This window comes from Homo sapiens, chromosome 17 (genome assembly GCF_000001405.40).
Source record: "Homo sapiens chromosome 17, GRCh38.p14 Primary Assembly".
Lineage (NCBI taxonomy): Eukaryota > Metazoa > Chordata > Mammalia > Primates > Hominidae > Homo > Homo sapiens.
This window is the reverse complement of record NC_000017.11, coordinates 11,907,325-11,927,293: the sequence shown is the minus strand read 5'-3', so window position 1 is coordinate 11,927,293 and position 19,969 is coordinate 11,907,325. Positions and strand designations below refer to the sequence as shown.

The window sequence follows — 19,969 nt, the reverse complement described above, 5'->3', positions numbered from 1 at the left end:
AACAAAAGCAAAAATTAACAAGTGGGATCTGATTAAACTAAAGAGCTTCTTCCCAGGAAAATAAACTATCATCAGAGTGAAAAGACAACTTATGGAATGGGAGAAAATTTTTGCAATTAGACCTGACACAAGTCTAATATCCTGAGTCTACAAGGAACTTAAACAAATTTACAAGCAAAAAAACAAACAACCTCATTAAAAAATGGGCAAAGAACATGAACTGACACTTCTCAAAAGAAGATATTCATTGTGGCCAACAAACATATGAAAAGAAGCTCAACATCGTTGATCATTAGAGAAATGCAAATCAGAACCACAATGAGATACCATCTCACGCCAGTCAGAATGCCGATTATTAAAAAGTCAAGAAACAACAGATGCTGGTGAGGTTTTGGAGAAAAAGGAACCCTTTTATGCTGTTGGTGGGAGTGTAAATTAGTTCAACCGTTGTGGAAGACAGTGTAGCAATTCCTCAAAGATACAGAAGCAGAAATACCATTTGATCCACCAATCCTATTACTGGGTATAAGCCCAAAGGAATATAAATCATTTTATTATAAAGATACATGCATGCATATGTTCACAGCAGCACTATTCACAATAGCAAAGACTTGGAATCAACCCAACTGCTCATCAATGATAGACTAGATAAAGAAAATGTGGTACATATACACCATGGAATACTATGCAGCCATAAAAAGGAACGAGATCATGTCCTTTGCAGGGAAATGAATGGAGCTGGAAGCCGTTACCCTCAGCAAACTAAAGCGGGAACAGAAAACCAAACACTGCATGTTCTCACTTATAAGTGGGAGCTGAACAATGAGAACACATGGACACACGGGGCGGGGAACAAACACACTGAGGCCTGTTGTGGAATAGGGGGAGAGGGAGAGCATCAGGAAGAACAGCTAATGGATGCTGGGCTTAATACCTAGGTGATGGGTTGATCTGTACAGCAAACCACCATGGCATATGTTTACCTATGGAACAAACCTGCACATCCTGCACATGTACCCCAGAACTTAAAATAAAAGTTGAAGAAAAAAAAAGAAGGCCTGTGTTCAACGGAATTTGGGAAATACTGGATGGAATAAGATTTCTATACCAAAGGATTCTCAGAACCATTAGCCTATTGATATCATTGAAAATATCCTTAAAAGGAATTTGTATGTAGTATTTTCCAACATTTGAAATAGGAATTTGTTAAGTGTATTCCTCCCCCCCCAGCTTTTTTTTTTTTTTTTTTTTTTTTTTTCAGAGAATCTCTCAGGTTTACAGGCTGGGAAACATTGCTGGGTAGGATTCTGGTCCAGTCTAGTTCAGTACATCAGGAAATTCTTAGAACCAGATAGCTGTGATTCCTACAAGAGATTTCACAAACCAGTAAGGATCTTTTGTTTCTGTGAGCACTTTACAGTGTGGACAGATTACGTCTATTCAATACTCCAATGCTTTATTCAGGGGGAAAGGCAGGCATCCAGATTATTTGGCACAATTTTCCTTTGGAAATGTCCAGTCACCAGGAAATAAAGATGGAATATTGAGTTCAGTGTTGGAGAGCTCTGAGCAACCACATCAGCACAAGATTTTGATGCCCTGCATGGCCAATAGATGCTGGGGGACAACGGGGGCAGCAGAGGCGGCACCACAGTTTCAGAAACAGACTCTGATGTCCATGACAAGTGCCTGGGTTCCCAGCACTGGCGTCCGGAGAAGTCTCTTGGCAAATGTGCCTGAGGGGGTGGGGAGGTCATACCTTCAAGCACTGTGCTGACCCATGAGGGAGGAAGGAGGAAACTCAGCTGTTATTATCTTTTCTCCTGAACTTCCTGATGTTTCTGGAAAAGGAGGCCCTGGGAGGGGCAGATCTCTCAGTTGCTAGGCTCCAAATAAATAACTGAATAATTAAGGACAAAGACCCAGCAGCAAGATGTGATGTCACCAGTAATCAGGAGATGGGGGAGGTTCATGGTAGTGAAAGCCGGGAAGAATGGGAGTGACTGGCTTTTGCATTTATTCTTTCTTTAATTTCTTCATGGATTCCTTGACCCACCGGCCTTTTGTTTCAGTGTCTGCTATGTTCAAGGCAGTGGGCTGGGTGATAAAAGGTAAAGAAGGAACATCTCTTTACCTAAAAAATTTGGTGGAGAATACAGTCATAAAATAAACCATGTCAACGTAGCAATGGAGCTCTAATAGAAGATTTCAAAATGTTCTAGGAGAAAAGAGGAGCAAGCTATGCATTCTGCCACAACTCCAGCATGTATACAAGTGGCATAAAAGAGGATTAGGCAGGCCGGCCCTGAGAGATGGATTTGAAAAGGTTTTGTCTACTGTGAAATGCTATGTAAGAGTTAGTAGTAGTTAGGCTGGGCGCAGTGGCTCATGCCTGTAATCCCAGCACTTTGGGAGGCTGACGCAGGTAGATCACTTGAGTTCTGAAGTTCAAGACAAGCCTGGCCAACATGGTGAAACCCTGTCTCTACTAAAAATACAAAAATTAGCCGGGCGTGGTGGTACGCTCCTGTAATCCCAGCTCCTCAGGAGGCTGAGGCAGGAGAATCGCTTGAACCCGGGAGGCGGAGGTTGCAGTGAGTTGAGATTGCGCCATTGCACTCCAGCCTAGGCGACAGAGCAAGACTCCATCTCAAAAAAAAAAAAAAAAAAAAAAAAAGAGTTAGTAGTAATTGTTGAAACGAAAATTGGAAAATTGGTTAAATGAAATAATTTAATAGGGGTTAAATAAAATTTAATAGGGGTTAATAGAGAGGGCTAAATTCTTTAATTTAACTCTCTTTTCTGATAGAAGAGAGGTAGCCTTTTTTTCCTTGTAACTGTTCAGTCAAATTATCAGTAGTAGGGGTTCCAGATTCCAAACACCAACATGAGCTCTCAGTGAAGAGGCTAAGGTTGCTCCCATATCCTAGTCATGCCCGTGACGAAGAGCATATGACACACAGCCCAAAAGAAAGGCACAGCAGAGGAACGTGCCATGAAATTCACAGGAAGAAACCAGCTGTTGAAAGCATCCAGCTGCCAGGGCCTTCAACGTAAATGCTAACTTCCTGAACGCCTATTAGAGTGGGAATCTGTTTCTTTTATAAGTAGAGCTATTTAAACTAGAGAGAGTGACAGAGCAGGTGAGGGGAGAAGGATTGTTCCTGGACGTGGTCTGGGGAAGAGAACATATGAGTGAGGAGAACTGGAAAGAGAGAAGATGAAGAAATGAAGGGGACAAGAGTGTGAAAGGACAGATGGGGAGAAGCTAAGAGTGGATGGAGATGCCCAGTGAGTGTGGGATGAGGCAAGTATGGGTCAAGATAACCCAGACAAGGGTAGAGGAACATACCTGCAAAATAACCCAGTGACCTTTCTTGGCAGCGAGGTCCAGCGCAGCCTCAGCCACCACTTCCTGTCCTTGCCCCAAAGACACGTTGTGAAAGTTCTGATTGTTGAAGGTGTATCCAAGTTTTCTTCCTAAAAGGAGGATGGAGGCGTCATTATTATTTCTTGTGTCTAATGATGGATGTTTGATGTTCATAAGGAAATGCACACGCTCAGATCACCCCTCAAACACGGGCATGCCCAAATCTATAACCGAAACCTCATATACTGACCCTTTTCCTTCACAGGGGGCTACTTCTTCCAGCTTTTTATTGTCATATAAAAGGAAGCACTTGAGCCGGGCGCAGTGGCTCATGCCTGTAATCCCAGCACTTTGGGAGGCCGAGGCGAGCGGATCACCAGGTCAGGAGATCGAGACCATCCTGGCTAACACAGTGAAACCCCATCTCTGCTAAAAATACAAAAAATTAGCTGGGCGTGGTGGTGGGCGCCTGTAGTCCCAGCTACTCGGGAGGCTGAGGCAGGAGAATGGCGTGAACCCAGGAGGCGGACCTTGCAATGAGCCGAGATTGCGCCACTGGCTCACTCCTGTAATCCCAGCACTTTGGGAGGCTGAGGCAGCAGGTGGATCACCTGAGGTCAGGAGTTCAAGACCAGCCTGGCCAACATAGTGAAACCTCATCTTTACTAAAAATACAAAAAATTAGCTGGGTGTGGTGGGAGGTGCCTGTAATCCCAGCTACTAGGGAGGCTGAGGCAGGAGAATCACTTGAACCCAGGAGGCGGAGGTTGCAGTGAGACGAGATCACGCCATTGCACTCCAGCCTGGGCAACAAGAGCGAAACTCAGTCTCAAAACAAAACAAAACAAAAACCAAAACAAACAAAAAAAAAAGAAGCACTTGTTCAGACCAAAATCACTTCACTCTTCCCTCTTCACTTAATTCCCAAAGAGGGGTAGGATTGCTGATGCTATTCTTTATGTGTCTTATCTGCAGACCAGATATGGGTCCACCATTCTAGGGAGTGCTGATGAGAGAAGGGTGAGAGAGTAGCAAGCATATGGGTGTGGTCCTTTGTGGCTTGCCTTGTCCTCTGAATAAATATTGTGTCTTCTCTGGAACTTTACTGGGAGGTGTGGCCAGTAGGGGCAGGATTCAGGTAGTTCTGGCTTCCTGTACTTTATGCCCTATTAACCTCCTCTCCTATCATTCCCAACACATAGAAAAGAGTTATCTCATCATTTTGCACGAATTAGAGTGAAGAGGGGCAAGACATGAAGCTGTTTAGTTGTGTAGGTGTGAATTTTCTGTTGGATGTATATAAGGGTTGCTGGTGTTGCAGATGGATTAAGAGAATGACCACACACACAAATGTGGCAGCCATACCACTGAAGCAAGACCAGTGGGCTTCAGCTGCTCTCCACGCCCAAGGGAAACAACACAAAGAAATGACCCTAATATAGAGAACATTAGCTCTTAGCACAATCCAATAAAGTGTAGAGAAATTACATAATATTCTTTAGATAAAAGGATCATAAAAATGTATAATACCATGAAGGAATCATTAAGTGATTTTTCTAGCAAGGTGAAGTAGACAAAAGGGGAGAAATCGAAAAAGAAATAATAAAAATCCATACTTAAAAAAAATTTAGTTTCAGAGGAACTAAAAGTGAAGATGTAGTTTGATACTTCTGCAAGAAAATTTTTGGAAACAAGTGTTCATATTGAATATTTCTTTTAAATATAAACAATGTATAGACTGTCATTGAAATGTACAGGACAACGCAAGATGATGACTTTTTGTAGTAAGAAATAGATATTGGAGACTTAACTGAGATGAACCCAAGAAACACCGTTATTAAATTATAAATCTTAGTTGGCAAAACATTTGATGTCAGCTTTGGAAGTGGGGAGATAAACAATTCATTCCAGAGAAAATACCAGGATAAAAAGTGTTGGGACTTTTAGATGTCTTCTGTGACATTTCTGCTCACAAAAGGGCCTGTTTATTTTGTTTATTAGCAACAGAAGGATATGGGCAAAGAGGTTATTTAATAAAGATTAGTTTGAAAATTCCAGACTGGAGGGATCATCACGGGCAAAGTTTAGCACTGCAGAGCCCGGCTGGGATCAGTCTGCATTAATCTGGGCTTGAGGCATGACAATGAGGCGGAGAAGAAAGAAATGGATCTTGGAAACATTGAGAAGGGGAAAAATGGATGGGATTCTCACTAACTGAACACTCAGCCAAAGGTGGCCGCATCCCATGTGAGCCTCATGGGTGCGGAGGTAACCTTGCGAGGTCTTTCCCTTTGCAACTGTGAGGCTCTCAGATGGCTTATTGGGCCTTGAGCAAGTCCCTCCAGTGTCTCAGGATTTCACCTTCAGATTGTTGTATGCTGGTGCTTCCATGCCTCCACCCCTACTGCTTGTGACTCATCTCTCCTTTTCTGACTTTCCTTCCAGCTCTACATATGGTGGTGTCACCTGGAACTATGCCCCACTGTCAACCTCTTTTAACATCTTTACGGTGTGCGTCACTGACCTCTAGTCTCTCTGAGGACATCACAACTCCTACAGTCCTCTCCCTAGTTCCATACCCCTATGGCATTGGCGTTGGAAGGGGAACATTTTTTCTAGTGTTTTCTTGCTACTTGGAGGCTATTTCTTCTCCACCTTCATAAAAAAGAAAAAAAAAAAATCACCTTTTTTTCTTTTTTTTCACCCAGGCTGGAATGCAGTGGCATGATCTCACCTTACTGCAACCTCCACCTCCCAGATTCAAGTGATTCTCCTGCCTCAGCCTCCCGAGTAGCTGGGATTACACCCAGGCTGGAGTGCAGTGGTACGATCTCACCTCACTGCAGCCTCCACCTCTCAGATTCAAGCGATCCTCCTGCCTCAGCCTCCCAAGTAGCTGGGATTACAGGTGCCCGCCACCATGACTGGCTAATTTTTGTATTTTTAGTAGAGATAAGCTTTCACTATGTTGGCCAGGCTGGTCTCAAACTCCTGACCCCAAGTGATCCACCCACCTCGGCCTCCCAAAGTGCTGGGATTACAGGCATGAGCCATTGCACCCGACTAAAAACCCCTTTCTCACTGAAAGCACATGTCATCTGGTTTTATTATTTACTAACTTTTAAGTTCTCTGCCTTCTACCAACTTTTCAGTGAGTCTCATTTGTATTAGGGGCTTTGGAACTTGGTTCCTGTTTCATCATCATCTTGGTAAACTCTAATGTCACTATGGATGACTCAGACAACACCCAGCCTCATGTTTCCTCATCTTTCTTTCTTTTTTCTTTTCTTTTTTTTTTTTTTTGAGATGGAGTCTTGCTCTGTCGCCCAGACTGGAGTGCAATGGCGCAATCTCAGCTCACTGCAACCTCTGCCTCCTAGGTTCAAGCAATTCTCCTGCCTCAGCCTCCCGAGTAGCTGAGACTACAGGCACACGCCACCATGCCCAGCTAATTTGTGTATTTTTAGTAGAGATAGGGTTTCACCATGTTAGACAGGCTGGTCTCAAACTCCCGACCTCAGGTGATCTGCCCACCTCGGCCTCCCAAAGTGCTGGGATTACAGGCATGAGCCACTGTGCCCAACCTCATCTTGAAAGAGCTTAACTCCAACCATAATCCCAGCACTTTTGGAGGCTGAGGCAGGTGGATCACCTGAGGTCGGGAGTTCAAGGCCAGCCTCACCAACATGGAGAAACCCCTTTTCTACTAAAAATACAAAATTAGCCAGGCATGGTGACACATGCCTGTAATCCCAGCTACTCAGGGGGCTGAGGCAGGAGAATCGCTTGAACCTGGGAGGCAGAGGTTGTGGTGAGCTGAGATTGTGCCATTGCACACTCCAGCCTGGGCGACAAGAGCGAAACTCTGTCTCAAAAAAAAAAAAAAAAGAAAGAACTTAGCTCCATTTCATTTCTGCTGCCGATTCCCAGTGGCCACACCCAGGGCTCTCCCATCATGGAGATCTGTCCTGTGTCTGAAACATGATTCTTCCATGTCCACTCATGAATTTCACTTCCTACTTCCTAAATTTTTTTACCTTCTTATTTCTTCCCCACCTATTTTTCTACTTCAGTGAAATGTTGAGTCCTTTGGTCCCTTCGTTTTTTTCTAATTTCAGCTTTACCTCCTCTTATTTTAATATGGACCCAATAATCCTTAATTTGAGCCCAAGTCCTCAACTCCATTGCCTCCTTCTACTTCCGCACTTACTACTCAACTTTCTAAGACCCCAACTCTGAGTTTAAGTATTAATAAAAGGAATAATTCACATGTTTGGTGAATTGGCACCATCACCAGCTTGTGATTCTCAATTTCGAAGCGCTTTGGTACTCTTTCAATGTGTCCAGAAGCCGGCTATGTTACCCATTTCCCTCTGTCATTATGTCTCCTAATGGATCCCTCTTTTTTTTTTTTTTTTCTTTTTTTTTTGAGACGGAGTCTCGCTCTGTCGCCCAGGCTGGAGTGCAGTGGCACAATCTCGGCTCACTGCAAGCTCTACCTCCCGGGTTCATGCCATTCTCCTGCCTCAGCCTCCCGAGTAGCTGGGACTACAGGCGCCCGCCACCACGCCTGGCTAATTTTTTGTATTTTTAGTAGAGATAGGGTTTCACCGTGTTAGCCAGGATGGTCTCGATCTCCTGACCTTGTGATCTGCTCGCCTCGGCCTCCTAAAGTGCTGGGATTACAGGCGTGAGCCACTGCGCCCCGCCATGAACCCCTTTTCTTATGCTCAGCAGTTTGCTCTACTGTCTTAATTCCCTGAAAAAACATGCCCTCTGGTGGACACGCCTCCATTACTGCCATTTTGTCTGCATTTCTGTACACTGCCCTGTCAATGAAAAAGATGTCCTCCTCCCTTCCTGCCTGTCACTTTAACTGTCATTTAAATCCCATCTCTTTTTGTATCTTTTTAAAAATTATTATTATTTTATTTTTTGAGATGGAGTTTCTCGCTTGTCACCCAGGCTGGAGTGCAGTGGCACGATCTCAGCTCACTGCAACCTCCTTCTCCTGGGTTCAAGTGATTCTCCTGTGTCAGCCTCCCAAGTAGCTGGGATTACAGGCACGTGCCACCACTCCCGGCTAATTTTTGTATTTTTAGTAGAGATGGGATTTCACCATGTTGGCTAAACTGGTCTCAGACTCCTGACCTCAGGTGATCCGCGTGCCTTGGCCTCCCAAAGTGCTGGGATTATAGGCATGAGCCACTGCGCCCGGCCCTCTTTTTGTATCTTTAACCTTTGTCTCTATTCACTCTTCTGCTCCCCAGCACATGCACAAATCAGTTTCGCTCACCACAAAAAAACAATACTCCATGAATCCTGAATCCTCTCTCTAAAGACTGTACTTGCCTCAGCTTATCTATCTTTTACTTGCCTTTTAAAGAAAAGAGGGCTGGGTGTGGTGACTCATGCCTATAATCCCAGCACTTTGGGAGGTTGAGGTGGGCAGGTTGCTTGAGCTCAGGAGTTCAAGGCCAGCCTGGGCAACACAGTGAGACCCATCTCTACAAAAAATACAAAAAATTAGCCGGGCATAGTGGCATATGCCTATAGTCCAGCTACCTGGGAGGCTGAGGCAAGAGGATCACTTGAGCCTGGGAGGTAGAGGTGGCAATGAGCCAAGATGGCGCCACTGCACTCCAGCGTGGGCAACACAGTGAGAGCCTGTCTCAAAACAAAACAAAACAAAACAAAACAAAACAAAACAAAACAAAAAAACACCCAACCAAATACAAGAAAAAAGAATGGGGTCAGGAACAATGAAAACAAGACCCAAAGCAAAGTTTCGAGAATCTGGCTGCAAAGACACTGAATGGAAAACTGTTTCTTTGAACATATCTGGTAGCAGGCCTACAAAAATCTCAGAACGTTGGAGAGAAAAGGAGACAGTAGAAGACAAAGGCGGGATACACAGCTTCTTTCTGATCAGAAAATGGAAAGACAGAACTCATTTTGTTAAAGCCAGGTAATTGGGCAAAGAAGGATGGAGACCAAGCAAGATGATGCTGCAGACAAGTGAAAGAAAGACCAGAGAAGATGCCGGCATCAGGGCAAGAAGGGGAGGGCCAAGGAGGAGACTGTTCTTTGAGAGGATGTGACAAAAAGATGTGAAGGAAGGGCAAACTGAGCTGCCCCAAAGAACAGATGCACCATCCTCATCGTAACGCCATGCAATGCTACTGTACTCTCGGCTTTTCAAAGCCTTTTCACATCTGACATTTTGTTTTTATCTTCACAGTAACCCAAGGAGGCAGGTATCATGGGTGATTGAGAACAAGGGGGAAGTAGATGAAGCAAAAGCAGAAATAAACAAGCAAATAAGGAAGTGTGGCTCCTTTAGGGAAAAAGATGATGAGAAAAGAGAGATGAGTACAGTGAAAGCTCTGTTAAAGGCTTGATCAGAGAAGGCAAGAAGGAAAACAGTGAGGGTGGATGGTGGTAGCTTTCGTGTTAAAATAGAGGCCAGCCAGATGTGGTGGCTCACGTCTGTAATCCCAGCACTTTGGGAGGCTGCGGCGGGTGGATCACCTGAGGTCAGGAGTCCCAGACCAGCCTGGCCAACATGGTGAAACCCCATCTCTACTAAAAATACACAAATTAGCCAGGAATGGTGGTGGGCGCCTGTAATCCCAGCTACTCGGGAGGCTGAGGCAGGAGAATCGCTTGAACCCGGGAGGTGGAGGTTGTTGCAGTGAGCTGAGATCGTGCCATTGCACTCCAGCCTGGGTGACAAGAGCAAAGCTCCGTCTCAAAAAAACAAAACAAACAAAACAAAAAAATAGAAAACAGAGGCCAAGAAGAGTGGATGGAATTTTCCCCTTCCCCACTCCATCCCCGCTTCTCCTCCTCACTTCTTTCTCCACTTTCCTTTCCTTCCCCTCCTCCTCCTTCACAATTGTTGAGGAAGAAAAATCCTGGAGGAGACTGAGTGCCACAAAAGTGCCTACAAATTATAGATTCCTAATCAAGGGAATTATTAATTATTAATTGGCCAATGGATAAACTTCAGGGACTGAAGAAATGCTCAAAATCGTATACAGAATGTTGTGTGTCTGTGGGTATGTGCATTTTTCGGGGGTGGAGGAAGGACCAAGGAACAAATCTTGAATCTGAATCTAGGGGTTTTAAAACTCTACCTGATATTAAGAACTGCCTTGTTGAAGCAAAAGAATACGTAAATGAAGGAGTAAAGAATTTAAATCAAATACCCAAAGAGGAGAAATGATTCCAAGCTTTTTAAGAGTCTAAACGGAGGAAGACAGTGAACTGTGTGATACACAGACTCTGCACAAGCAATAAAACAGTAAGTTTACTTAATAAACTGGGGCTTGGGGACATGGGGAAAATGTTTAGATCAGCCATGTGGATTCCAGACTTGAGACTAGGAGCCCATCAGGCAAGCTGATTAGATTCAAGATGTGGGAAATGTGGATGTCACCAGAATATATGTCCTAAATGGGTGAATTAGAAAATAAATCAAAGCACCAAGAAGGCAGGGAGGAAGGAAGAGAGAGAGAGGCACAGGTGCCTAAGTAATCTCTAGTTGATGAACAGCAATATTGCTTCTGGTAAGAAAATATCCATTAAGATTAAGCCAAGGGCAGGGCTGAGATAACGTATTCTGAGACAAACAACCCATATAGATCAGGGAGGGGTCAGTTTGCCTGAGATGACAGGAAGCTGCAAACTACGTGATGGAGTAGTTGGAGGTCAATTGGCTAAGAACAATAGGAAATTGCTCATAAACAGGGTATATGAAAGCTTCCAAAGGGGAAAATACTGAATAAAAATGAGGAAACTAAATTTATCTGTATAAAAGGAACAAAGCCTCCAGGGGACAGAAGGAACACAGACTATAAAGTGTGAAAGTCAGGAATAACTTAGCTCTGATAACAGTTCTGCTAACATTAATTTGTTCGTTTGTTAGTTCATTCAACAATACTTCTCTGTGCTAGTTATGCTATTAGGCAGTGGTAAAAAAATGAACAAGATGACATGGTCATCAAGGATGTTAATGACAAGCAGGTAGGCAAAACATAAGTTAAAATTATAACAGAATGATTAAATTAAAATTGTATTAAATGCTCTGAAGCAAATACATAGAGTGCTGTAAGAATCTCTAGTTGAGAATCAAATGGTCTTCCAGGGAGGCCAGAAATGGCTGGTAATTTGCAGGATGAGTAGGCATTGGATGGTTGAAAATATTTCAGATAAAAAGAACAATTTGTGCCAATGTCCTAGGTTAGGAAGGCTCATGGTGTGACAGGATCTAAAAGCTGGACAGAAAAGCCATGCCATGCAGGCCACACAGGTCATGTTAATATTGGACTATACCAGTGGGAAGTCACTAGAAAGTTTTTTGTTTTGTTTGTTTGTGTGTGTTTGTGTTTGTTTGTTTTTGAGATGGAGTCTCTGTGTCGCCAAGTTGAAGTGCAGTGGTGCGATCTTGGCTCATTGCAACCTCCGTCTCCCAGGTTCAAGCGAGTCTCCTGCCTCAGCCTCCCGAGTAGCTGGGACTACAGGTGCGTGCCACCATGCCTGGCTAATTTTTGTAGTTTTAGTAGAGATGGGGTTTCAGCATGTTGGACAGGTTGGTATCGATCTCTTGACCTTATGATCTGCCTGCCTCGGCCTCCCAAAATGCTGGGATTACAGGCGTGAGCCACTGCACCCAGCTGGGAAGTCACTAGAAAGTTTTAAGTAGAAGAGTGATACAATCACATTTGAGATTTAGCAACATGACTCTGGCTGCAGAATGGCAAGGGTTTGCAGAGGAAGAAGAGTGGAGATGAGCTAGGAGGCTAGTGTAATAAGCCAGGTGAAAGACTATGGTGATTCAGACTAGGATGGCAATCATGAAAATAGAGACAATTAGATGGATTTGAAGCATATTTAGGAGGTGGAATCAATAGAACTAAATGTGGTGTGGGTGGTGGAAGAGGTGTCTAGGATGATTGACACCCAGGTTTCTGGCATGAGAAACTTGGTAAATGGTGGTGGCATTTACTAAATATAACAGAAAAATTTTTAGAGCTCAAAAGTTTTAGTGACTCTTCCACTTGAAATGACAGGCTGACTGCTCAGCAGATGAATGAAAAGGACCCACAACTAGGCACAGCTTATGAAATTTCAGAACACAAGGTAGAGAGATTATTCTAAAGTTTTCGGGGAATAAAAACAGGTCACCGACAAAGAAACAAAGAAAGAATATAATTTCACTGGCATATGATATCTCATGAACAAAACTGGCTTCTAGAAGATAATAGAATCATGTATCCAAAGTTCTGATAAAAACCATTTTGGACCTTGAAAAACTATCAAACTGCTATATAAGCAAAACTGAAGCATTTTTAGACACCCAAGGATTCCAAATTTTTACTTCTCATGAGTCTTTTCTGATAATTTATGCCAGCAAAGTAAGGATGGAGAATTGAAAATAAAAGACATGGGATATAAAGACAGTAGAACTAATTTAGAATATAAAGAAAATAGGTCCCAGGATGATAGCTTCCTAGAAGGCTGAAATACAATTTATTTATATTAGAAGAAGATGTCAGTGAGCTCCAGGGAGAGTATCTTCAAGAAGAATAAAGTGCAGTCTTTCCAATATAGAGAACGAATAAAAAGGTAGTGACAATGATAAGTGAAGCATTTACTTCTTCTCCTGAGATAAATAAAAGGCAACTTGCAACTCCAAAGAAAACTAAAAGCTACAAAAATTATCATCACCTATAAAGCAAACTGAAATTTGACATGTTTTGAACCTCTGTGCTAAGAACATTCTTCTTTTAGAGACCCCCTAAAGATTATGACATTTGATCAAAAAGAAGGAAGTGTAATCCTAGACATTACTTGCCTTTGCAGTGAATGATATATTTACATATATTAGAATATATGTGCTGTTTATTGGCTTTCAACTTAAAAATTAACCCATAAACTAGGCATGCATGAAATTAATGATAGTAACAGAGTAGAATGAATATGCATTCATTCTTGACTATGCAAAAACAAAGACATAGCTGACACAAGATGAGAAATGGAAGCTTTAGCTTACCTAGAAAGAAGTCAAAAGAATTATCTAAAACTTGTGGAATATGAAACTGTTTCTCTTTTTCTTTTTCTTTTCTTTTTTTTTTTTTGAGACGGGGTCTCACTCTGTCGCCCAGGCTGGAGTGCAGTGGTGCAATCTCGTCTCACTGCAAGCTCCACCTCCTGGGTTCATGCCATTCTCCTGCCTCAGCCTCCTGAGTAGCTGGGACTACAGGTGCCTGCCACCACGCCCAGCTAATTTTTTGTATTTTTAGTAGAGATGGGGTTTCACTGTGTTAGCCAGGATGGTCTCGATCTCCTGACCTCGTGATCCGCTCGCCTCGGCCTCCCAAAGTGCTGGGATTATAGGCATGAGCCACCGTGCCCGGACAATAAATTGTTTTTCTAATAGCATTTAGTTATAACATACCCAACAGATGATCTAAACACTTTAATATAGATATCAAAATTAAGGAGGTGTTTATCAACAAGTTATATAACTTAGATGAAATGGACAAAGTCTTAGAAAGAAATAAATTATGGTAAGTGACTCAAAGAGAAATAAAAACTTTGAGTAAATATATAACTAGTAAAGATAAATTGAACTAATAATTTAAAAACTTCTTACTCAAAAAAACTCAGGCCCAGATGGCTTCATCACTGAATTCTACCAAACATTCATGAGAATTAATACTAATACTTTACAAAATCTTTTTTAGTTTTTGAGACAGAGTCTCGCTTTGTCACCCAGGCTGGAGTGCAGTGGTGTAACCTTGGCTCACTGCAACCTCCACCTCCCAGGTTCAAGCAATTCTCTTGCCTCAGCCTCCCAAGTAGCTGGGATTACAGACATGTGCCACCATGCCCGGCTAGTTTTTGTGTTTTTAGTAGAGATGGGGTTTCACCATGTTGACAAGGCTGGTCTTGAACTCCTGACCTCAGGTGATCCACCCACTTCAGCCTCCCAAAGTGCTAGGATTACAGGCATGAGCCACAGTGCCTGGCCTACAAAATCTTTAAAAAAAAATAAAAGCACAGGGAATACTTTCCAACTAATTCTGATGTATAGATTATTAGCATTATTCTGATACTGAAAACAGACAAGGACATTGCAAAGAAAGAAAACAACAGGTCAATATACCTTGTGAATATACATGTAAATATTCTCAACAAAATGTTAGCAAATTGAGTCCAGTAATACATAAAAAGAATTATACACTAGTACACCAGGACTGACTGAGATCCTAGGAATGCAAGGTTGGTTTAACTTCTAAAAATCAATAATATAATATACAATATTAATAGAATAAAGAAACAACTATCTTATTACTACAATATATGCAGAAAAAGCATTTGACAAAACCCAACAACTTTTCACAATAAAACAGAACTCAACAAACTAGGAATAAAAGGCAACTTTCTCAATCCAATAAAGGATATCTACAAAAAATCCACTGCTGACATCATACTTAATGATGAAGACTGATTTTTTTCCCCTTAGATCACAAACAAGACAAGGAAGTCTGAACTTGCTATTTCTACCTAACAGTGTACTGGAAATTCTAGCCAGGGTAATTAGGCAAAAAGAAATAAGAACATATGAGGATAGCACTTTGGGAGGTCGAGGCAGGCAGATCACGAAGTCAAGAGATTGAGACCATCCTGCCAACATGGTGAAACCCTGTCCGTACTAAAAAAATACAAAAATTAGCTGGACATGGTGGCGTGTACCTGTAGTTCCAGCTACTCGGGAGGCTGAGGCAGGAGAATTGCTTGAACCTGGGAGGCAGAGGTTGCAGTGAGCTGAGATCGTGCCACTGCACTCCAGCCTGGTGACAGAGCGAGACTCCATCTCAACAAAAAAAAGAACATATAATGATAAAAGAGGAAGAAACATAAATATCTGAATTTGCAGATAACATGGTCTTGTAACTGGAAAATCCTAAGAAATTCACTAGAAGGAATTATTAGAACTAACAAGAAAGTTTCAGCAAGTTTGAAGAAGATCAGTATGTAAAGAGCAACTGAAATTAAGGAAACAATTCCATTTACAACAGAATCTAAAAGAAAAAAGTCTTGGGAATACATTTAATAAAAGAAAAGCAATCACACTAAAAACAACAAAACATAGTTAAAAGAACTTAAAGAAAGCTAAATAAATGGCAAGACAATCCATGTTCACTGATCAGATTTATATTGTTAAGATGGTAATACTCTCTAGATCTTATCTACATATTCAGTGCAGTCCTTACTGAAATTCAAGCTACATTTATTATTTTTTGCAGAAATTTATAAGCCAATTCTAAAATTATATGAAACATAAGATGACAGCAAGAATGAGGGAAACAAACAGAAAACAACAACAAAAAAGAAAATATAAGAGACCCAGAGTAGCAAACACAATCATGAAAAGAACAAAGCTGAAGAACTCATACTTCCTGATTTCAAAACATACTGCAAAGCTACAGTCATTGAGACTGTTATTTGGCATACAGATAGATACATAGATCAATGTGATATAAATAATAGTCCAGAAATAAGCTCTTACAATGATGGTCTATTTTTGACAAGGGTTCTAACATCATTTAACCGGGAAAGAATAGTCTTTTCAACAAATGGAGCAGGGACAATTGGATATCTACGTGTCAAGGGACAAAGTTGGACCCTTTCCTTACATACAGAAACATTAACTCAAAGTGGATTATAGACCTAAATGTAATAACAAAAAGTAAAAATCTTGGAAGAAAACAAGGGAGAGTAAATCTTTGTGACCTTAGGTTGGCAATCGTTTTATAAATATAGTATTAAAATACAAGTGGCCAAAGGAAAACATAGATAAATTGTATTTTAACATAAAAATTTTCTGCTTCAAAGAATACCATTAAAAAAGCAACTAGAAAACCCAAAGAATGAGAAAAAATATTTGGAAATCATATATCTGATAAGAAACTTGTATACAGAATTTATAAGGAACTCTTCTTATAACTCAACGATAAAAGGACAAGTAACCTAATTTTAAAAACTGGAATAGAATAGACATTTCTCCAAATAAGATGGAGAAATGCCCAATAGGTACATAAAAAGGACACTTACCATCATTTGGGAAATGCAAATCCAAACCACAGTGAGCTACCACTGCATACCCACTATGGTGGCTCTAATCAGAAGATGGATAATAAGTGTTGGTGAAGACTCGGGGAAACTGGAATTTGCATATTGCTGTTGGGATAGTGAAATGGTGCATCTGTTTTGGAAAACAGTCTGGCAGTTCCTTAGAGTTAAACATAAAGTCACCATCTGACCCAGCAATTCTACTCCCAGGTATATACTCAAGAGAATTGAAACTTATGTTCACACAAAAACTTGTTACATGAATGTTCATAGAAGCATCATTTATGCAGCTAAAAGATGAAATAGCCCAAGTGTCCATCAACAGATGAATAGAGAGATAAAATGTGGTTCAGCTATACAATGGAATATTACCCATCCATAAGAAAGAATGTAGTTCTGATACATGCTACTACATGTTTGAACCTTGAAAATATTATGCCAAATGAAAGAAGCTCATCACAAGAAAGCATATTGTATATGATTTCATTTCTATGAAATGTCCAGAATAGGCAATTTTTTTTTTTTTGAGATGGAGTCTCACTCTGTCACCCAGGCTGGAGTGCAGTGGTGTGATCTTGGCTCACTGCAACCTCCGCCTCCCGGGTTCATGCCATTCTCCTGCCTCAGCCTCCCCAGTAGCTGGGACTACAGGCACCCGCCACCATGCCCAGCTAATTTTTTGTATTTTTAGTAGAGACAGGGTTTCACCGTGTTAGCCAGGATGGTCTCGATCTCCTGACCTCATGATCCACCTGCCTCTCCTCCCAAAGTGCTGGGATTACAGGCGTGAGCCACCACGCCCAGCCGAGAATAGGCAAATATTTAGAGACAGAAAGTAAATGATGGCTGACTAGGCCTGGGAAGGTGGTGAGATGCCATGGAAAGTAATGGCTAGTGGATGTAGGGTTTCAAAACAAGAGTTTTGAAAATTAGCATATGGTGATGGTCACATAGCCTTATGAATATCCTAAAATGCTTTGAATTGCACACTTTAAATGGGTGAATTGTATGGTTTGTGAATTATATCTCAGTGCAGCTGTTGAAAAATTTGGGAGCACGAGGAGAGTCTTGGTGGGCAGCAGCGTGTCTCATCTGTACCTGTGGGATGTTCATTGATTGAGGAGTCTGGATGATGTCATGGAGGGGCAAATGCCACTGAAAGATTTTTATTCCTTACATTTCCTGAGATCAGGGGATGCACCATATGTGCAAAGCCACATGGGGGAGCACCAGGTTGGTCAAGAGGCAGGAAGGAGCAAGGGGAAATCGTAGGCCAGGGTCTTTATTGGGGTTTTCCCTGAGAAACACAAGGCAAGGCAGGGGAGACAGTTCAAGACCGGCTAATTTGAGTAACTCTCGTGGTTTGGGGGCATAGGGACTGTCCTTACTAGTCTGGTACCTGGCCCTGGGTTGATTTAGGCCAGTGGGGATGTTGGCTTGGTGTGTGATTTAGATAAAGGGGATGATTGGGAGTGTGGACTCTGGATGGTTATTTTGCTTACAAAAGGCATATTCCCAGGTGAGCCTTTTGTGATCTCTAAGAACTGGCTAGCTTTGGGAGCAGCAGTCTCTCTCCAATCAGTGAGGCCACAAATGCCAGAGCATCAAGACTATAGTTGACAATAACATATTATATAGTTTCAAGTAGCTAGAAGGTGGATATGGAACGTTCCCAACACAAGGAAATGATTAAATGTTTGAGTTCGTGGATATGCTAATGTATGGAGCATAAGTAATTCCATCTTAGCAAAAGACTCCATCTTACATTTTAAAAGGCATCGTACCAACAGGGACCAGATGTTTGCCTAATCAGTAGAGACTGCATGCAACCAGATAAGGACATAACCAGGCACACTTTCCCACTATCAGTCCTCACCAGAGGACTTCACTGGCTCAGAACAGCCATCTTGACAGACACTGGTCTTGCTGTTAATTGTGATAAACACCCGGCATCCGCGGAAGGCTCTGCCCACATCAAAGACTCTTCCTTGTGGTTCGTTAAAAGACTGCCCAGACCAGGACAGGAGATTCTTTTTGTCCACATTGCTCCCCTTGGACTGTTTCATTAACCCATTTTCCTATCCCCTTTCTCTTGATGTTAGATGTTACTTCGTTTGATGTGGAATGTTTAATCTGTAACATTTGTATTGATTTAGTATACCATTATGTATGGTTTGCAATATCGACTGACTTTTGGAATGGCTTGAGCCTGTGTGCCTACAGCTCTGACTACCGAGTAAATGGGATATACTAAGAAGAATTACCTCCGTAAAGCTTGTGGCTTTTATGATTGGAATAGCATCAGTAAAAGACTGATACTGTAGAAAGACACAAATGTCTGTGGATCTGGTTATGTCTGACTTTGTGCTGCTCATGATACTAATCACCCTGATCTGACTACTATGTATTATGTGAATGGAAACTTCACTATGTGTCTCATTGATATGTGCAATTATTATTTGTCAATTAAAAAATTTGTTTTAGAAGAATATAGAAAAAGAGAGTACAGTCGACCCTTGAACAACACAGGTTTGAATTGTGTGGGTCCACTTACACATGGATTTTTTTCAACCAAACTCAGATGAAAATACAGCAGTATTTGAGAGATGTGAAGCCTGTATATACAAATGGCAGGGCCGGTGATGGGACTGGGATATGCAAGGACTGGAACCAATACCTCCCAGTCCCCACCCCGTGTATGTGGAGGGAAGACTGTATAGTTAATGCATTTGGCCCTGTGATGCTTCAGTGCCAAACAGACACATACAGAATCTAAGACGACACAGACAGAACACAGTGCACGCTAAATCCTTGTTTTTCATATCAGGAATAGACACTTTATCTAAAACTGCTAATACAAAAATGGTGATATAAGGTTATTACTAGGAAATGAGAAGTAATTCTCAAAGGAACTAAATTCAGAAATGGACAAAAGCATAGGGCCTGGGAAGGGGGACTGCGTATCTGGAGGGCTGGTGCTGGGGGCTGTTGCTTTTCATTTTTAATTCTTCTCTATTACTGATTTTATTATGCACATCTTATTCGTTCTTTAGGGCCTAGTTAGCTTTATCTCTCCTCCCCTGAGGCACAAAGCATATGCTGTTAGTTCTTTCATTCCATAATCAATACTAGACTTGAAAACCAGAAATAAAATCCTAAGCCTCCCAGCCATTCTGAATGGACCCCTTCTCTCAGCAAAGGACATTCCAAAGTTAACTTGAAAAACTAGTTCAGGCCATGATGGGAAGGGGGGGTCAGACATGCCTCATTACACCCTCCTTTCTTTTGGAATTACTGATAGGACAGACTCTTTTTTTTTTTTCACTCTTGTTGCCCAGGCTGGAGTGCTATAGTGTGGTCTTGGCTCACTGCAACCTCTGACTCCTGGGTTCAAGCGATTCTCCTGCCTCAGCCTCCTGAGTGGCTGGGATTACAGGCATGCACCACCATGCCCAG

General features: G+C 41.9%; 1 protein-coding gene across 5 annotated transcripts in view, besides 1 other annotated feature; it reads right to left on the bottom strand.

Annotated features, from left to right (window-relative positions):
* DNAH9 (dynein axonemal heavy chain 9) overlaps nucleotides 1-19,969 on the bottom strand; it is a 371,279-nt gene that overhangs the window by 42,455 nt on the left and 308,855 nt on the right. For all 5 annotated transcript variants that reach the window (XM_011523703.3, NM_001372.4, XM_017024292.3 and 2 more), the window contains one exon: nucleotides 3,353-3,480. In XM_011523703.3, coding sequence (XP_011522005.1) covers nucleotides 3,353-3,480 — 128 coding nt within the window. The remainder of the gene's footprint in view (nucleotides 1-3,352; nucleotides 3,481-19,969) is intronic.
* Nucleotides 18,362-18,554: a silencer, noted in NCBI's record as "fragment chr17:11812057-11812249 (GRCh37/hg19 assembly coordinates)". NCBI's record gives its function as "represses an EF-1alpha promoter that drives an FKBP-Casp9 reporter gene in an ReSE screen in K562 erythroleukemia cells {active_cell/tissue: K562}" and the evidence as "EXISTENCE:reporter gene assay evidence [ECO:0000049][PMID:32094911]".